Here is a 19,960-nt window from a genome sequence, read left to right as displayed (position 1 = left end):
ACTTAGTCACCTGGCCACACAAACTCATATCTGGGCTTTATTCTAGGCAGCCCTGTGCCCAGCTAAAAATTGAGGCCCTGGCTCCTGTTGAATAGGGTTTCTCAACTTGAGCACTACTGGTATTTTGGGTCAGATAATTATTTATTGCAGGGGGCTGTCCAGTTCATTGCAGCATATTCAGGAGCATCTCTGACTTTCACCTACAAGATGCCAGCAGCATCCCTCCATCAAGTTGTGACAACCAAATATCTCCAGACTTTGTCAAATGTCCCCTTGGAGACAAAATTGTCTCTGATGGAGAGCCACTCTTATTTAAGAAGGGGAGAGTAGAGACTAGGGGACAGTTGGCCATCCCTGCCAGATATAAGTTGATATTTTTTATTTCTTTCCTCCTCATGTACAGAACAGGGCGGCCATTAGGACCACCACTTTAGAAGTATTACTGAACAATCAATGCACTCACGGCTGGATGCTCATGAAGCCAATACCATGGCAATGGCTTTGGGGAAAAGAAAAGCTTCCTTTGGGGATTTACAATAGCAAAAACATGGAATCAACCTAAATGCCCATCAATGATAGACTGGATAAAGAAAATGTGGTACATATACCACATGGAATATCATGCAGCTATAAAAAATAATGAGATCATGTCCTTTGCAGGGACATGAATGGAGCTGGAGTCAATTATTCTTAGCAAACTAATGCAGGAACAGAAAATCAAATACCACATATTCTCTTATAAGTGGGAACTAAATGATGAGAACACATGGACACAGAGTGGACAGAAAGAAAGAGAGAGAAAAGCTTTCCTGCAAGTTGACTGGCAAGGAGAGAGGAGGACATGGTCAAATCTGTCTTCCTGAGCTGGGCACTGGGTCAGGTTTTAGAAGCATAGGGTAATGAGGCATAATCTGATTGGATCTTGCAATGAGGTGATGCTGGGAGGCATGATCTGATTGGATCCTGCCATGGGGTGACACCAGGGCTCAATTTGATTGGATCCTGAATCCTGCCATGTGGTGTTCACTTCTTAATTCAGTCCCCATTCCTTGGTCTGAGAACTTAAGTTCCATCTGTGGTTGTACAGTTGGTTCATCTGGGCAAGCTCAGGTTATGTGACCTTTAACCTGGGGGTTGATACCAACTGAAAAACAACTCACAACTTTGTTACATAAAAGTTGAACCAGATTGGTCTGGTGTGGTTACAGAGGCCAGGTGGACTTGAATTCAAATTCTACCTCTGCCACTTATGACTCTGTTTTTCTCATACAGAAAATCTGGTTGGGTTGCTGGGTGCATTCAAATGAGATAAGTAGAAAGTGCCCAGCACAATGCCTGGCACACAATATACACTCAAAAAACACTAGATATTAACACTGAGATGGGTTTTGTTTGGGTGATGGTGGAGGAGTCTTGGGGAACTTTCCTGGCGGGAAAGGATGCTTGGGTCATGGGAAGTTGTGCAAGATGAGGGAGACTGATGGTGACCACTGCTTGGCTGGGGACCAAAAGAATTTTGGAGAGTCCAGTGATGCTTAGAAGGTGAACAGCAAGGACATAGGTTCTTTCTTATATAAAAGACAGAATTAGGACTAGAACCAGACCCATGAATTACATTTAGTGTTTTCTTCTCTATTATTATACCATGACTCTGAGTAACAATAGCCCAGACATTGGTTCTGGGCTGATTATTCTCCTACCTATGTAGCCCTGACTTTCTGTATCCATTGCATAAAACAGAAAACCTAATCAATGGTGTCTTTAAAAGATAGAGTTGTCTCTCATATAAAAAAATTCTGCAGGCAAGTGTCCAGGGTTGGTATGGCAGCAAGGATCCAGGTTCCCCTGCCTCACCATGGTTAACATGTGCCTTTCAACCTCAAGGTCACGGCAAAGTCACAAGTGGTCACTGCAGCTCCAGCTGTCCCCTCTGCATGCCAAGTAGCAGGAAGGAAGAAAGAGATGAGCAAAAGTGTGACTCTCATCTGAGACAGCCCCCTTTTAGGGAGTTTTAGCAGAGTCTCTACCCAATAACTTCTACTTCCACCTCTTTGGCCAGAATGATCTCTGAATGGGTAATGTAGTTTTCTAGCCCAACATATTGCCTCTCCCAACATAATCAGAGTTCCTTTGGAAGGAATAAGGGGTAATAATGCATAGGCAACTAGAAGTTTCCATCGTACCTTCCAGGGTGGGAATCTGTGAGTGACTAGAAGAAGAATGATGTGGAGAGAGAATGAGAGAAAGCAAGAGAGAGAAGACAACAGGGGAAAGGGAAAATTATTGTTGAGTCCAATTCATTTTTGTTTTTGCTTTTGAGACAGAGTCTCGATCTGTTGGCCAGGCTGGAGTGCAGTGGTGTGATCGTGGCTCACTGAAACCTCGACTTTCTGGACTCAAGCAATCCTCCCACCTCAGCCTCCCAAGTAGCTGGAACTACAGGCATGCACCACCATGTCTGGCTAATTTTTTAAATTTTTAAAAAAATTTTTTTGTAGAGATGGGGTCTGGCCATGTTGCCCAGGCTGGTTGCAAACTCCTGGGCTCCAACGTTCCACCCACCTCAGCCTCCCAAAGTGCCGGGAGTACAGGCATCAGCCACCATGTCCAGCCTTCTTGAGTCCAATTTTGAAGGGAGAGATGACTTCTAGCAGGTGTTTGAAATGGGTCTTGGAAATTAGGTAGGATTTGGACAAGAACCCATGTGAGTTAGGGTTCTTTGATTGTAGTGTTCAAGCTAATTTTAGAAAAGAAGGAATTTTTTGGAAAGATATAAGGAAGTTGCTTAAGAAAAACATTCAAACTGACTTTTTCTCTCCTTTCACATCGCAGACATCAACACAGAAGACCTCTGTGACCAAATGCGTGGGGTTTTCCCCACGACCAGGCACTGGACACGTGCTGGGTGTCCTCTAATTCAATTCTGACACTACCTACTTGGAGATAGCGTCAGATCCCACAGCTTGAAGGCTCAGTCCCCAAAACTGTCCCCTTCCCCTAGACACCAGTTGCAAGTCCAGGCCTCCAGAACTTCTGACCAAACAGCTGTATGTTGGGGTTCCCATGATGCCTTCTTTGGGTTGGATTAATTTTCTGAAGTGGCTCACAGAACTCAGGGAAACACATTTACTGGTTTATTATAAAGAATAGAGATGAAGAGATGTGTAGGGCGAGGTATAGGGGAAGGAGCATGGAGCTTCCATGCCTTCCCTAAGTGAGCCACCTTTCAGGAAACTCCATGTGTTCTGTTATCCAGAAGCTCTCCGAACCCAGTCCTCATGTTTTTATGGAGGCTTGATTACATAGGCATGATTGACAACCATGTAGAAATGTGATTAGACAAAAGTGCATGATCTATACCCAGCAAGGCCTGTCTGCTCAGACTTCTTGGCCCCTCTGTGTAGCATTCCTTCCTCTAGGGTACGGGGCAGGACCCACTCTGGAATGAAGGTCTTTTGACCACAATCAGATTAGAGTCCTACCTTATCAGGTAAAAGGAGGACAGGAGGCCAGGCGCGGTGGCTCACACCTGTAATCCCAGTACTTTGGGAGGCCAAGGCAGGTGGATCATGAGGTCAGAAGATTCAGACCATCCTGGCTAACACGGTGAAACACCATCTCTACTAAAAATACAAAAAATTAGCTGGGCATGGTGGCACACACCTGTAGTCCCAGCTACTCGGGAGGCTGAGGCAGGAGAATCACTTGAACCTGGGAGGCAGAGTTCGTAGTGAGCTGAGATTGCACCACTGCACTCCAGTCTAGGGGACAGAGGAAGACAAAAAAAAAAAGAGGACAGGAGAAGATCAGAGAAAGATTCTGCCTCCTAAAACCTAAAGCACCCAACATTGTAACAAGGACTATGGGAGTTATGACCCAGGAGCTGTGGATGAAAACCAACATATATAAAACTGTAATATCACAGAAGACTAAGGAAGACTAAGGAATTATTTTTTTTTAAAGGTGAGGGCTGAGAGGAGGAGAGATCTGTGTATAGCCTTAGATGGAACTCATCAGGAGTCTTGTCAGTTCAAACCATTTTGTTGTTGGTAGTGGTGTGTCCTCTACTCAAGATTCCAAGTCCCAAGAGTGAGCAACCAACTGTCCTTACTTGGGCCATGTGACCAGGAAAAGACACCATGAAATCCATCTCTAGTTGGGTAAAGAGATTCCCCAGGTCAGGCGTGGTGGCTCACACCAGTAATCCCAGGCCAAGATGGGAGGATCACTTGAGCCCAGGAGTTTGAGCCCAGCCTGGGCAAACGAGCAAGATGCTGTCTTTACAAAAAAATTAAAAAATTAGTCAGGCACAGTGGCACATGCCTGTAGCCCCAGCTACTTGGGAGGCTAAGGCGGGAGGATCACTTGAGCCCAGGAGGTCGAAGCTGCAGTGAACCTTGATCACACCACTGCATTCCAGCCTGGGAAACAGAGTGAGACACTGTCTACAAAAGAAAAAAAGAGAGATTTCCCTAGAGGAAGTCAGAACACCGTACCAGATGAAGGGAGAATTAGAGGTTGTAGGGCCAGCACTACCCAAAGTCCACTAGGAGTAATGGGAAGAGAGCTATTCTAGACGAGGAAAGACAGGAAGAAAGTCACACAAGTTGGAGAGTGAAGGAACATCCAGTTGACCAAGCAAGAGAGGGAGATGAAGCTTGAAAGGTGGGTTGAAGCCAGATTCTAGAGATGTTTGACTACCAGCATGAGAAAATCCCTGTTTTTATCTGGTGGGCCATGGGGAGCTATTGAAGATTTTTGCCTGTTAGGGTAAAGTGATCAGGTCTGATCCAAATATAAAGATTGGTCCAGGCTAGGCATGGTGTCTCATCCTTATAATCCCAACACTTTGAGAGGCCAAAGCAGGAGGATTCTGTGAGGTCAGGAATTCAAGACCAGCCTGGGCAACAGAGCAAGACCCTGTCTCTACAAAAAAATATGCCAGGCATGGTGATGTGTGCCTGTGATTCCAGCTACTCAGGAGGCTGAGATGGGAGGATCATCTGAGCCTGAGAGGTCAAGGCTGCAGTAAGCTATGATTATGCCACTGCACTCCAGCCTGGGTGACAGGAACCCTGTAAAAAAAAAAAAAAAAAAAAAAAGATTGCTCCAAGTTGTGGCATAAGTGTGGGGAAGGCAAGTATCACTCTGGGTCTCAGGGACTCAGATGTCACCAGGCGACTCACTCTTTCTGTCTTCCCAGCCCCTCTCCCTCCTACTGGCTTCTTTCTTCCAGATCCTTATCTTCCTCATGGTAGCTGAGCTCCTCAGTGCAGCTCCTGTCACCTCCTCTCGAGCCACCTGTCTCAGCTTCATCCCCTGCTAAGCACTGAACCTTGTTCCCTTGGATACTAAATTGAAAAATGCAGGAAAGTCCCCTGATTGGCTTAGCTTAGGTCAGGTGACACCTCCAGGCCAATCAATGGGCGTCAAGGGAAAGGCTCTGAAAGAAGGGAGCAGGTCCCTTTTAAGCCATGTGGTTAGTGCAAAGCCAAGGATCATTTCCTGGAGGGAGCCTGCTTGCTGGTTTGTGGAGATAAAGCAGTAGAGGTCTAAGTGTCTACTATTCGCAGGGGCTCCTTGAACACCTACTATGTGCCAATCACTGGGCTAAATGGCTTATCCCATTTTGCCCCTTCAACAACATTTTGAGGTCTTATTATTATCCCCATTTTGCACATGGGCAAACTGAGTCTCAAATAACTTAGAATCACTTGTCTAGGTCAGGTAGCCAGTTTCAATGGCAGAGCAGGGATGCAACCCCAGTCTTTCTGGCACCAGAGCATGAGCTCTTAACCATATTATTCTGCCAAAGATCCAACTTGGGGCCTCATTTTCCCACCCAGGAAGGTATTTGGCAGGGTCACCAGTAGCCATTTTGGTGCCTTTTTTTAAATTAGTAAAACCTCCCCTTCTTCAAGACACTTTACTGCCATCTGCTGAAAATTGCCAAAGTAAGTACAGTACACAAATCTATAATGCAGTGATGTAAACAGTGCCCCTTTAGACTGAGACTCTGGGTCAGTCTAAGGGCCAGTTTTTCACAGTTGGGCAGGTTGTGTACTGTACCAGGGCTAACATGGTGCAGTGCACAACCTGCTCAACTGTGAGCCTTAGCTTTGATACAGGAAGTAGAAGCTGCAGCCAGGAGTTTATTGAATAGCAAAGACTAACACGAATTATCTGGAATCATGAATTCTGTGGCCTCTGGAATAGGGTGATGTTTTGGGATGTCTGGAGCTGATAGGTCTGGGCTGAAAAGGACCAGGTCGATGGAGATGCCAAGCATTTATTTGTTTTGTTTCTTCTCACTCCTATGTCGGGTCTTTGCCTTTTGGTGCTTGGCCACTGGAGTGGGTGGCTCCATAAGATGACTCTTGGATGGTTTCAGGCTCTTCCTGGACACCCAGGACTGGTCCATGAGCTTGGGCTCAGCTGGGAAATCCTCAGGGAGATAGACATCTGTGGCCTCTGAGATTGATAAGGGTAACTGGGGCTCTGGGGCCTGTAGCTGCTCTGGTGGGAGGGGGCAGAGGTCAAGGCAGTAGAAAGATCTAGGCTCAAAAGTGCTGGGCCTAGCCTTCTTGGGGGGCTTCTTGGCCAGATTCCTGAGGGGGTCTTTGGTCTTGTTTAAAGACATCTTGAGTTTTTTGGCCTTGGAAGTCTTGGAGTGCCTGAGAGACTTTTGAGGTTTCTGGGGAAGGCTGGAACACTTTGTCTGGAGTATTCATGCCATAGGTCATTGGAACTCTCCAGCAGGATGGAGAGTAACAGGAAACTGTCTTGGATGTCATGTCTGGGATGCCTGGGGGGAGCCTGTGACAAGCTTGATGGTCTGGGTCCAGGTAAGGGCAGCATTGAGCAGTGCCCAGAGGCAGTGGGCTTACTGGTGGCTGGAGCAGTACCAGAGGTCCTCTGCGAAGGAGGTCACCGCAGTGACCTCACAGGCTGTCCTGTTCCTACATAGCAAGGGCAATTCATGAGACTGGGGTGGGAATTCTAGAGAAAATATCTTAGAAAAAAGGTCTTCTATTATATAATCACATTTTTCATTTAATCATTCATCTACGCATTGATGTATTCACTTGTTTGTTTATTTCATTCAGTCACCCAGCCATCTACCCACTCATCCATTGACTTATTACTTGCATGGTAACCCACACCATTCATTCATTCATTCTACTTCACTCACGCACTCATACCTTCATTCATTAATTCAGCAAATACTTGCGCTGTTGGAGTTGGAGATACCAACACCAAAAATAACAGCAAACATCTACATAGTGTTAAGTGTGTGCCAGCTACTGTTCTAGGTGCTTTAGATTCGACTTAAGCTTTCCAAAAACCTCCTGAAGGTGTTTGTTATGGAATTAATGTTTCTAGTCCCTTCTCAAATTCATATGTTGAAGCCCTAACCCCTAAGGTGATGATATTTGGAGGTGGATCCTTTTGGAGGTAATTAAGTTTAGATGAGGTCATGAGAGTAGGTCTCCTATAAGGGGATTAATGTCTTAATAAGAAGAGAATTCTCTTCTTAATAAGAAGAGAATGAGAGACCAGAGCGTGTGATCATTTTCTCTCTCTCTCTCTCTCCCCCCTCCCTCTCTCTTTCTCTCTCTCTCTCCTCTGTGCCATATGAGGTCACAGCAACAACATAGCCATCTTCAAGTCAGAAAGAAAGGCTTCATCAGGAACCCAATCTGCTGGCACCTTGATCTTGGACTTCCCAGCCTCTAGAACTGAGATAAATAAATGTCTGTTGCTATGGTATTTTGTTATAGCCCAGCCTAGGGTATTTTGTTATAGAAATCCGAACTGACTAAGACAGAATTATTATTATTTAGAATTAAGTTCTCGGTGTGTTGCCCAGGCTTGAGTGCAATGGCAAAATCATGGCTCACTATAACCTCGAACTCCTGGGCTCATGTGATCCTCCTGCCTCAGCCCCCTGAGTAGCTGGGAATACCAGTGCATGCCACTACACCCGGCTAAAGACAAAAAAGTTATTATTATTATTTTTCTATTTTTATAGATAAGCTGTTCTTCAAGGAGATGGAGTAGCTTGCTTAAGGCCACCTAGCTAGTCAATAGCACAGCCAGGCTTTGAACCCGGGCAGTTAGTTATCAGAGTCTGGCCTCTCAGCTGCTATGCTGGGCTGCCTTTTGTTAATAAGACAGCTCCTCTGTTCTCACTCTAGTGGGGAGGCCAGTGTGCCTGGAAACCAAGACAATGAAGTGTGATGAAATACAGGATCCACACAGAGTGCTGGAGGAGTCCCTGGCAAGGTCGCCTCACCCACCCAAGCAGGGGGATAGGCTATATGGAAGATTCTTTTCCTAACTGGTCAAGCTTACCTTCCTTATTTGTGATGTCAAGGTCATCCCTGGGTGATCCTTTCATCCATGTATGATGCAGTTTTTCAGCAACAACACTTAGTGAGTGCTAATCCTGGACATTGGGGATCGAGAAATGAACAAGGACTATCCCTGCCCGCCTGGAGCTCACAAGCTGGTAGAAGAGACAAGGAGGGAAGGGCAAGGGTGGGCTAGCCAATTAAGACCATGGAGCATGACTCCGTCCACCCCTTCTGGTTCCTGTCTTGGTCTTTGAGACCTATGCTCTCCAAAGTTGTGGGCTGCAAAGGATAGGGAGTCAGGAAACCCAGTTCTAATCCAGTGCTTCCTCCTAGAAGCTGTGTACTCTTGAACAAGTGTCTTTACATCTCTGGGCTTCATTTTTCTCATCTGTAACATAGAGAGGTAACACAGGATGATTTCCAGCAGCACAAGACCATTTATTGTCCCCCAGTACCTGTTCTCCACTGTCTCCATAATAATGGAGTCTCACTGGGCACAGATTTGCCGGCTTGAGGCTGTATTTCCCAGTCTCTCCTGCAGTGAGGTGCGGCCATGGGAATAAGTCCTCACTGATGGAATATGAGCAGAAATGATGTCAGCAAGCATCTGCATCACTTGCTTAAAAGGAACTTTCTTGCCTTGCTACTTTTCTTTTTCTCTTTCCCATAGGTGAGTGATGGATAGGGTGGGGCCACATCTATTACATGAAACAAATTGGAAGAAAATTTCACCCCTGAAGGACTGTGTGGCTCAGAGTTACCTCGTCAGCCTGGACTGCTCACTTCTGAACTCTTACAAAAGCAAGAAACAGCCTAGGTGGGAGGATCGCTTGAAGCCAGGGGTTCAAGACCAGCCTGGACAACATAGCAAGACCCCATCCCAAATAAATTAATAAAATTAGCTGGGTGTGGTGGCATGTGCCTCTAGTCCCAGCTACTTGGGAGGCTAAGGGGGAGGAATTGCTTGAGCCCAGGAGTTCAAGGCTGCAGTGAACCAGGATTGTACCACTGCAATCCAGCCTGGGTGACAGAGCAAGTCCCTGTCTCTTAAGAAAACAAAACAAGACAAAAATAAAAGCAAGAAATAAACTTTAAAAACCCCACAGCCATTCTATTTTGAGATCTCTTTGTTATAGCAGCTTAGCTTATACACTAATATAGAGTATTTGTTTCTTTTTTCTCTACTCCAAATCTTGTCTTCCTTCCTGCTGCCTGTACCCTTTCTCAACTTATTCCAAGGCAAAAAGAACACTCATTTTGCGGTTCTGCCCAGCTAGTTTAAGCAAAAGTTACTTACCCAGCCCAGGAAGCTCCTCTAATGAAGGCTACCAATGAGACATCAGACAAGAGTGCTGGTCCCATCTCATTGGCCAAGATACCAGCACATCAGCCCCAGCTGGTGAGAGTGGCTGCCTTCTTCACAATCACTCCTCTACAGTCAGTAGTGTGATGGTCTCATAGTAGTTGCTATGGGCAGCAGCACATTTTTTTTCTTCCAATGATGCTGTCTGCTTCATAATTTCTAGAATCCTCCTGGAATTCAGACATTTGTCAATAAGAATAATAATAGCAAACATTAATCAAATGCTATCTCTATGACAAGAACATTACATGCATTTTGTTCCATCCTTTTTAGTTATTATTGTTTGAGACAGGGTCTAGCTCTGTTGTCCAGGCTGGAGTACAGTGGTGCGGTCGTGGCTAACTGCAGCCTTGACTTCCTGGGTTGAGTGATCCTCCCACCTCAGCCTCCTGAGTAGCTGGGACTACAGGCTCACACCACTACACCCAACTAATTTTTTTATTTTTATTTTTTGTAGAGATAGGGTCTTGTTTTGTTGCCCAGGCTGGCCTCAAACTCTTGGCCTCTAGGGATCCTCCCACCTTGGTCTACCAAAACACTGGGATTACCAGTGTGAGCCACCACACTGGGCCTCATTCCATCTTTACAACATCATTATGTGGTAGGCACTGTTTTTATTACCATTTTACAGATGAAGAAGCTGAGGCCCAGACAACACAACTTATCCAAGATCACATAGCTAGAAAGCGGCAGAATGGAGTGGTCTGTCTTTCTATATTTGCAAGAGTTTTGCTATTGTGAAAATGAGTCATTGCCTTATTTACTAAATCCCTACAATGTTCCCAGCCCCATAGGAAACCCAAAAGAATGATCAGAACCCAAAGAACTACCAGGTACAATCACTCTTTCTAGGGTGGGAGGAACCCAGGTCCTCCCATGGTATAGGGTAGCAGCTAAGTCGTGGGCTTTGGTGTAAGGCAGATCTGAATTCAAATCCCTGCTCAGCCACTGAACGGTTGGGTGATGCTGGAAAAGTTCTTAGCCTCTCAAACTGTTTCCTCCACTGTGGAAAGGGGAGTTAATAATGTCTGCCAGTTTGTTAGGAGGAGTCCATGGAGGAAAGGGCTTTGCCATAGTGGGCATTAAGGAAGGGCACTTAAAGTAGCAAGAAGAGACACATGTTCACATTGCCTGCCATGTTTGTATTTGTTTCCATGTAGATTTTTTCTATTGCAAGTGACAGAAACCCAAAACAAGCCAGCAGTAAGTGAAGTTTATTGGTTCTTGTAATTAGGAATCTCAGCGGTGGGCCCAGGGACTCAAACAACAACGTCAAGAATCTCTGTCTTTTGGCTGAGCTCCTCTCTGTGCTTTGGCCTCAATGAAGAAGGAGTCCTTAGGCCATACCAAGCTGCCATCAGTCAGCTCAGCTAGGTATTCTAGAGGGAAGACAGCTTGGTATTAGAGGGAAGAAATATTACTCTCTCCTGGTAAAATCTCAGAGAACCATTTGATTGGACCAGGGGAGTCATGTGCCTCCCCTTGAAACAACCACAGTGGCCAGAAGAATGGGGCTTAGCTGAGATAACACAAATGAGGTGCCCAGCACACAGTGGGCTCTTGGTAAGGATTGGTTCCTGGTACTGTCCCTCCCTCACAGCACCCAACCTCAAGTCTGTTATTTTTATGTAAACATGTTTCTTCCCTACTGGATTGTGAGCCCCTCAAGGAAGGAGGCTGAATATAATCTCGTGTTTTTAGAGCTGTAACAGCCTGGCAGCCACAAGAGTAGGATCAGAGGCCGGGCACGGTGGCTCAGGCCTATAATCCCAGCACTTTGGGATGCTGAAGAGAGAAGATTGCTTAAGGCCAGGAGTTCAAGACCGGTCTGGGCAACACAGTGAAGCCCCATCTCAGTAAGAAAAAAAAAAAAAAAAAAAAAAGAGAGAGCAAGAAGGATCATCAAACAGGTTGCAAGCACATCTTTCTTTCTTTCTTTCCTTCCTTCCTTTCTTCTGTCTTCTTTCCCCTTCCTCCTTCCTTCATTCCTTCCTTCCTTCCTTTCTGTTTTTAAAGTGAAAGCAAGTTTATTAAGAAAGTAAAGGAATAAGAGAATGGCTGCTCCATAGGCAGAGCAGCCCTGAGGGCTGGTTACCCATGTTTATGATTATTTCTTGATTATATGCTAAATAAGGGGTGGATTATTAATCAGTTTTCTGGGAAAGGGGTGGGCAATTCCCAGAACTGAGGGTTCCTCCCCTTTTTAGACCATGTAGGGTAACTTCCTGATGTTGCCGTGACATCTGTCAACTGTCGTGACACTGGTGGGGGTGTAGCAGTGAGGATGACCAGAGGTCACTCTCGTCACTATCTTGGTTTTTGCCAGCTTCTTTACTGCAACCTGTTTTATCAGGAAGGTCTTTATGACCTGTATCTTGAAGCACATTTCTTTAGATCTGTCCCATACCCTATGGAGAACTACGCACAAGCTATTGATTCCTTCACAACTTGCCGTAAGAGTTCCAAGGCATGTGTGCCCAGAACACAGAGCTCTCAATTCTTACATCAAGTCCTGTGTTTGTCTCTTTAGTGATAGGCTCTTGGAAGTAAAATTATTGGGTCAGAAACCATTGAACATGTCCAGACTCCCAACAAAAACTCCCAAATTGCTTCCAAAGTTTCTCAAATCAGCCTTCCCAATAACAGTATATGAAGGTGTCTATTTCACTACAACACCTCCAACACCAAATGTTTTCTATCTTTTACATTTCTGAAGGAAGAATCATGTCATCCTGCTGATGTTTTGGTTCCCTGTATCTTATTATGGAGCTGGCCATGGTTACTGGCCATTTGGATTTTCTCTGAGCCACTTCTGAGCAGAGAGGGACACACAGCCCATATAATGACATTGGGGCCTCTGTATCACATTTTCAAATCTCCCCATGCTCCTAATGCCTATTGCAGGAAATGGAACAAGGTTGGTGCTCATTTGTATCTGCTGAAGGGCACTGAGTCTCTTTGCAGTCAGCAGTGGTCTTGCCAAGCTGTTCCTTGTGGTTGGAAGCACTCCAGCTTTAGAAATCACACAAAGCAAATTGCAAACAGTGAGTGGAATAAATATTTGAGCATTTCAGAGCCACGGTGGCTTTGATTGTTAAGCCAAGTGTCTTGCTGAGGGGCAAGAATCTGAGACTGACAGATCACAGGCTATGGAGGCCTTTGGTGGGTTGGACCCGCTGTGCTATTTGGCAAACCTGCCCCCAAAGACTCATTTGGAAGCTACAGAGCGAATAGTTCAAGGCTACTGCGGAAAGTGCTGCCTCATGGGGCATGTATTGGAAGTGACTTGCCGTGTGACTCATAGGCTTTTTGGCCTCAAGGAACTCAGAAGGGCGGCATCAGCTTACCCTGACCACCAGTCAGACTGCATCAAATCATGCCCTCCATGACAGCTAAAGTGCCCACCAGTCCCCCAGCCTGGCCCTGGAGACTGGTCCTGACCTGGTCTCTACCCTCCCTCCCAGCGCCATCTCCTATTGTTTCCGTTCCTGTGTATTGAGAACAATTGTTCCCACTTCTTTGGGTATGAGCATAAGTTTGAAATCAGAGAGCTCTGCGTTCAAGTTGTGGCTTCATTATTACATTCTGAGTGCCGAGTATGGTGCTTGTTATGTAGGAATGAGTCAATAAATAGTTTTATTTTTATTTTCTTATTAAAAACATTTTTTTAAAGAGATGAGGTCTCTCTATGTTGCCTAGGCTCGACTCAAACTTCTGGGCTCAAGTGATGCTCCTGCTTCAGCCTCCTGAGTAGCTGGGACTACAGGTGAGTGTCACTGCACCTGGATTACAAAAACAAGTCTTAAAACACATGACTCCTAGTCACTCAAAATGTGTTCCCTAGACCAGCAGCATAGGGATCACCTGGGAACTTCTTAGAAATGCAGGCTCTCAGGCCCTGGTCCAGACCTGCTGAACAGGAATCTGCATTTTCACAAGATCCCCAGGTGACTCTTATGCACATAAGAGTTTGAGGAACACTGACCTAATTCATAGAATTGGTCTGAAAACCAGTGACATCAGATGTGTAAGTGCCTGGCAAAGAGTTTGGTATATCATAGATGCTCAAATGACGAGTCATCTCTTTCTCTGTCTCTTCCACACTCCTGTCCTAGAATGCAAAATCTCTGAAGCCAGGGGCCCTGTCTCATTTCTCTTGAGACCATCAGCCAGATTTCACAGCTGACTCATAGTAGGTGCTTAGAAAATTTTTAAGTGCTGACAATTTGGCATAGTTTAGTCCAGTAATTTTTCAGGCTGCAGGTTGCAAACCATTAGTGGGTTGGGAAATGAATTTAGTGGACTTAGTGGATTTAAAAATAATTAGAGGAGGATTCTGGGAAGATGGCAGAGCAGGAAACATCAGGAATCCGTCTCCCTACCTAAATAACAATTGCACTGGCAGAATCTATTTGATGTAACTATTTTTGGCTGAGCACAATGGCTCACACCTGCAATGCCAGCACTTTTAGAGGCCGAGGTGGGTGAATCACTTGAGCTCAGGAGTTTGAGACCGGCCCACACTCTCTCTCTCTCTCCTGTCTCTCTGTCTCTCTCTCTCTCTCTCTCTCTCTCCTGTCTCTCTGTCTCTCCCTCTCTCTCAATCTCTCTCTCTCTCTCTCTATATATATATATTATATATATATATATATTTGTATTTGATGTAACTATTTTATAACACTGGCATCTATTTGAAGGATTGCAACTTCCAAGAGAAGGCTTGGATGGTAAATTGTGGTTAATTTCAGTCAATTTCAGCTGGTAGCAAGATAACAGTTACCTATCCTCAGCATGGTGGCAGGGAACTGTCCACATGTTCCTATAGCAGCTTGCAGGTTGCAAGGGAGCCAGGGTGAACAAAAGGAGCTTTGTCTTTAAAAAATTGGGGCTCTGTGTTCTGATTGTGATTGCTGCTCCTGATTATGACGGTGCGGACACATGGTGGGTAGCCATTGTTGCCCACCTCCCTATGCTATTGCAAGCTCCTCCCCCTCTGGCTGAAGCAACTTCCAGGGGATTTAAAGGGCCCTTTTTTTTTCTTTTCTTTTGCTCTCCTCAACCTGGGAGGGGGGGGGTCCCACAAGAAAAGAGAGAGAAAGGGGCAGGGAGATTTTTTTGTTTGTTTTTTTTTTTTTAGAAATAATGGCTGAAATTAGACAGGTGTGGTGTCACGCACCTGTGGTCCCGGTTGCTTGGGGGGCTGAGGCCAGAGAGTCGCTTGGGCCTGGGGGGCGGAGGTTGCAGTGAGCTGAGATTGCAACACTGCCACTCCAGCCTGGGTGACAGAGCAAGAGACCCTGTCTCAAAAAAAAAAAAAAATTAAATAGATAGTGATGTTAAGAGATATATATCAGCTTCTAGTAAAAGTTTTTTTTTTAAACCTGCTAGCTACATTTACATTACGTAAAAATAAAGGGAATAATCACTGAGAAAAAAAAAAAAAAAAGAACTAATGGCTGAAAATTTCCCCAAATGATGAAAGACATAAACATCCAAGAAGTTCAATAAACTCCGATAGGATGAACTCAAAGAGACTCCTACCAAAACACATTATAATAAAACAGTTGAAAGCCAAAGATAAAGAAAAAAATCTTGAAAATATCAAGAGAGAAGCAACTTGTCACATATAAGGGATCCTCAATAAGATTATCAGCAGATTTCTCATTAGAAACTTTGAGGGCAAGAAGGCAGTGGACTGATATAGTCAAAGTACTGAAAAAAAAAAAACTGTGAACCAAGAATTCTGTATCTGGCAAAACTGTCCTCCCAAAGTAAAAGAGAAATTAAGACATCCCCAAATAAACAAAAATGAACTGAAGAAGTTCATTACCACTAGACCTGCCCTGCAAGAAATGCTAAAAGAAGTCCTGCAGGTTGAAATGGAAGAACACTAGACAGTAATTCAAAGCTGTATGAGGAAATAAATATTTTAATAAAAATAAATACATGGGTAATTATAAAAGATTGTATTATAGTAACTTTGGTTCGTATTAGTGTACATTTTGTTTTCTACACTATTTAAAAGATTAATGCATAAGAAATTACTAGTTTTTGGTTTTGGATACACAATGTATAAAGACACAACTTTGCAACATGAATAACTAAACAGGGGTGGGGACAGAGCTGACAGAAGCAGAATTTTTGTATGTTATTGAAGTCATGCTGGTTTAAATTCAGATCAGAGTGTTATAACATTAGGATGTTAAATGTAATCCCCATGGTAACTACAAGGAAAATAGTGGAATATACATTTATACATAAAAGGAAATGAGAAGGGAATTAAAACATGTCACTTCAAAAATATCAAATAAACACAAAAGAAGACAGGAGCACAGGAAATGAGGGACAAAAAAGCATAAGGCATATAGAAAGCAAATAGCAAAATGACAAAAACTGAGTCCCTCAGTAATTACTTTAAATTTAAATGGATTAAATTATCCAATCTAAAAACAGAGATTGGCAGAATGAATCACTTAAAAAAACACCATCCAACTATACGCTGTCAACAAGATACTTTAGATCTAGGGATACAAATAGGGTGAAAGTGAAAGGATGAAAAAGATATTCAAAGCAAATAGTAACCAGAAGACAGCAAGGTGGCTATGAACGAGCCAGTCACAAAAAGACAAATACTGTGTGATTCTGCTTATATGAGGTACCCAGAGTAGTCAAATTCATAGAGAGAAAGTAGAATGCTGGTTGGGTGGGGAGAAGGTTGAGGTGGGAGGGAATAGAGAGATATTGTTTAGTGAACAAAGAGCTTTAGTTTTGCAAGATGAAAAAATATCTGGAGGTTTAGTGTGGTGGCTCATGCCTGTAATTTGAGGTGGGAGAATTGCCTGAGGCCAGGAGTTCAAGACCAGCCTGGACAACACAGAAAGACCTCATCTCTCTCTCTCTCTCTCTCTCTCTCTCTCTCTCTCTCTCTATATATATATATATATATATATATATATGATGTATATGTATTTATATATATTTCATGTAACATTTTATAACTATTTTATAACAGAGAAAGAGGAGAGAGATAGAGATCTGGTCTGGAGAAGGATTATGATAATAGTTGCAAAACAATGTGAATGTGCTTAATACCACTGTAAACTTAAAAATGGTTAAGATGATAAACTTTATGTTATGTGCATTTCACCAATAACACATAAAAATGTGTTATTCAAAAAATAATAATTAGAATAGATATGGTAAGTGTTGTTTTGTGAAATTTTGTTTTTGTTGTGTGTGTGCATTGGTGCACATGTGGGTGTGTACTGGGTCACCGTGTAAAATGTATATCTTCCTGAGGGTCATTGTCTAAAAAGTGTGGAAGCCAAGGCTTAGTGGTTCTGTGCATAGTTTCTGGAGTCAGAGTTGGATCCAATTCCAGTGCTTCTATTTATTGACTGTATGCCCTTGGGCAAGTTACTTAACCTCTCTGAACCTCAGTTTCCTCATTTGTAAATGGAGATAAGTGTAAGGCTCATTATATAGGATTGTTGTGAGAAGTAAATGAGAGGGTTAATGTAAATTGGGTGGCATCTTGCCTGGTACACTGTAAGAATTTCATGAATGGCACTGGCACCATTAGAATTAGAATATTCTGTCTAATAGGGAAATCAAGGAAACAATATGGCCAAATAGGAGGTATATTTTGACTGCAGGAAAGGGGAGAAATTTCCTCCAGCCCTTTGCAGACTCCAGGCTTGGGCAGTGAGAGAGACTTCCTGGAGAAGGCAAAACTTGGGCTATCGTTTGAAGATAGGTAAGATGTAGGTGGGTGGATGGGATTGTACAGGCCCTTTCTAGGAGCCAGCAGGGCTGCAAACAAAGGACGGCAGCGTAGAGGTTCAGAGGCTCATTCCTATTTCTGGCTTCCTGGAATTCATGGTAAGTATCACAATCAGTGGGGATCCCTCCCTATTTGGATGGGAAGAAACCTGCCTGGTTGAGAGGAAACCCTCTGGGCAAGGCTATTTTTATTTGGTGAATGTTCTGTTGGGACTGGGGTAAAAATGGCCCTCCATCTGTCCAGTTGGATTATTGGCACCTCCATGGAAGAGGCTGGGTTGAGAAATATAGCAGAGGCTCCCAGCAACTGATTCTTTTACCTCTGGGCAAATCCTCTGGATTTGGGCCCTGGAAGTTCTTTTAAATCAGACACCACAGGAGAGAATGAAGCTTTCCCAGGCACATAGTAGGTACCCACTCATTTATTTACTTTTTAATTGTGATCGAATATACACAACAAAATTTACCATTTTAGCTTTACCATTAACTTTAAATTTACCATTAAACCTAAAAGTCATTTATTGTAAACTGACAATTTATAATTGCATAAATGTGTGGGGTGCAAAGTGATGCTATGATTTATGAATACAATGTGGAATAATTAAATCAAGCTAGTTAACGTATCCATCACTTCAAATATTTAACATGTTTTTGTGGTGAGAGCATTTGAAATTTACTCTCTTGCAATTTTGAAATGTACAATACTCTATTATTAATTATATTCGCTTCACCGTGCAATAGAACTCAAAACAACATATACTCCTCCTGCCTGAGATTTTGTATGCTTTGACAATCTTCTCAGCATTCCTCCAAGCTTAGCCATTTTTTTCTTATTTTTACATTTTTTAGAGGCCATGGTAATCTTCTCTATATCATTCCAATTTTAGTATATGTGCTGCTGAATTGAGCACCTTAGCCATTTTTTAAGTGTACAATTCAGGGCATGAAGCACACTCACAATGTTGTGCAACCATCACCACTATCCATTTCCAGAAGTGTTACTTTTTTTGTTGTTTCTTGGTGTTTTTGTTTTTGTTTTTGTTTTTGTTTTGAGACGGAGTCTCACTTTGTCACTCAGGCTGGAGTGCAGTGGCGTGATCTCGGCTCACTACAACCTCCACCTCCCGGTTCAAGCGATTCTCCCGCCTCAGCCTCCCAAGTAGCTGTGATCACAGGCGTATGCCACCATGCCGGGCTAATTTTTGTATTTTTAGTAGAAACAGGGTTTCGCCATGTTGGTCTGGCTGGTCTTGAGCTCCCGACCTCAGGTGATCCTCCAGCCTTGGCCTCCCAAAGTGCCGGGATTACAGGCGTGAGCCATCACTCCTGGACCATTTCCAGAACTCTTTCATCCATCCTAACAGAAACTCTTCACTGGTTAAACAATAGCTCCCCATTCCTGCCTCCCCCTAGCCCTCCCAGTCTGCTTTTGGTCTCTATGAATTTGCCTGCTTTGGGTACCTCTTCTCAGTAGAATCGTGCTATATTTGTCCTTTTGTGTTTGGCTTGCTTCACTTAGCATAATGTTTTCAAGCTTCATCTGTGTTGTAGCATGCATCAGAACTCCATTCCCTTTTTATGGCTGAATAATATTCCTTATAATTATTATTATTATTTGAGACAGGATCTCATGCTGTTGCCCAGGCTGGAGTGCAGTGGTGCAATCTCAGCTAACTGCAACCTCTGTCACTTGGGTTCAAGTGATTCTCCTGCCTCAGCCTCCTGAGTAGCTGGGATTACAGGTGTGCACCGCCACACCCAGCTAACTCTTGTATTTTTGGTAGAGACAGGGTTTTGCCATGTTGGCCCGGCTGGTCTCAAACTCCTGACCTCGAGCGATTCACCTGCCTTGGCCTCCCAAAGTGCTGGGATTACAGGCGTGAGCCACCAGGCCCGGCCTCTTAATTATTTTTAATAGAAGAAATGAAGAAACTGTAGGCCTTGGGTTTTCCAAAGTGCTTCAACAACTGCATGGGGAAAAACAAAAGTCACTTGTGTGTAATTTCATGATGGTAATATTATTACCTCCACTCTACAGAGAGCTGTCCATAACCAAGTGAATGGCAGACGCATCTGACAGCGAAAACTCAAGCAGACACTGAGAATGATACTATGGTTTAGGAAGAATGTGTGTTTGGATTTCTGAGCTAAGGAATCTGGGAGTGGCCAATTTGAAGATTCACTCCTTATCTATGAAGGGCGTCTGAATTTCTGGCTTATCCCTTGAAATGCAGGCTGTCTGGGGGATCGAGGCCCTTTGTGTTGGGTTAAATGGAGATTGCTAGGTGGAGGTTGCTAGGTGGAGGATGCTAAGTGAAAACTGGCATATAAACTGCATGCTTTTTACAAATGGTGGTGGTCCTCCTGTCCAGCCTGCCACTCCTGGACTGCTCGGTATTTGAATCCTCAATGAACCCTGTGTCTTATTCACTGGCTCTGGGTATCTCCTTTGGCCTGG

General features: G+C 43.9%; 1 long non-coding RNA gene and 1 pseudogene across 1 annotated transcript; both read right to left on the bottom strand.

The window, feature by feature from the left end:
* Window positions 1–6,139: 6,139 nt before the first annotated feature.
* LINC02858 (long intergenic non-protein coding RNA 2858) lies at window positions 6,140–9,764 on the bottom strand. Its single transcript, XR_950883.3, has 3 exons — window positions 9,655–9,764; window positions 8,356–8,745; window positions 6,140–6,959 (listed from the first exon to the last, which is right to left on the bottom strand). It is a non-coding gene; the product is annotated as a long intergenic non-protein coding RNA 2858 (long non-coding RNA).
* An 8,548-nt stretch (window positions 9,765–18,312) lies between these two features.
* On the bottom strand, window positions 18,313–18,413 carry LOC124903781 (uncharacterized; annotated as a pseudogene).
* Window positions 18,414–19,960: the final 1,547 nt, after the last annotated feature.

This window comes from Homo sapiens, chromosome 16 (assembly GCF_000001405.40).
Source record: "Homo sapiens chromosome 16, GRCh38.p14 Primary Assembly".
Classification (NCBI taxonomy): domain Eukaryota; kingdom Metazoa; phylum Chordata; class Mammalia; order Primates; family Hominidae; genus Homo; species Homo sapiens.
The sequence above is the reverse complement of the archived record's forward strand: the minus strand, read 5'-3'. Positions and strand labels throughout refer to the sequence as shown.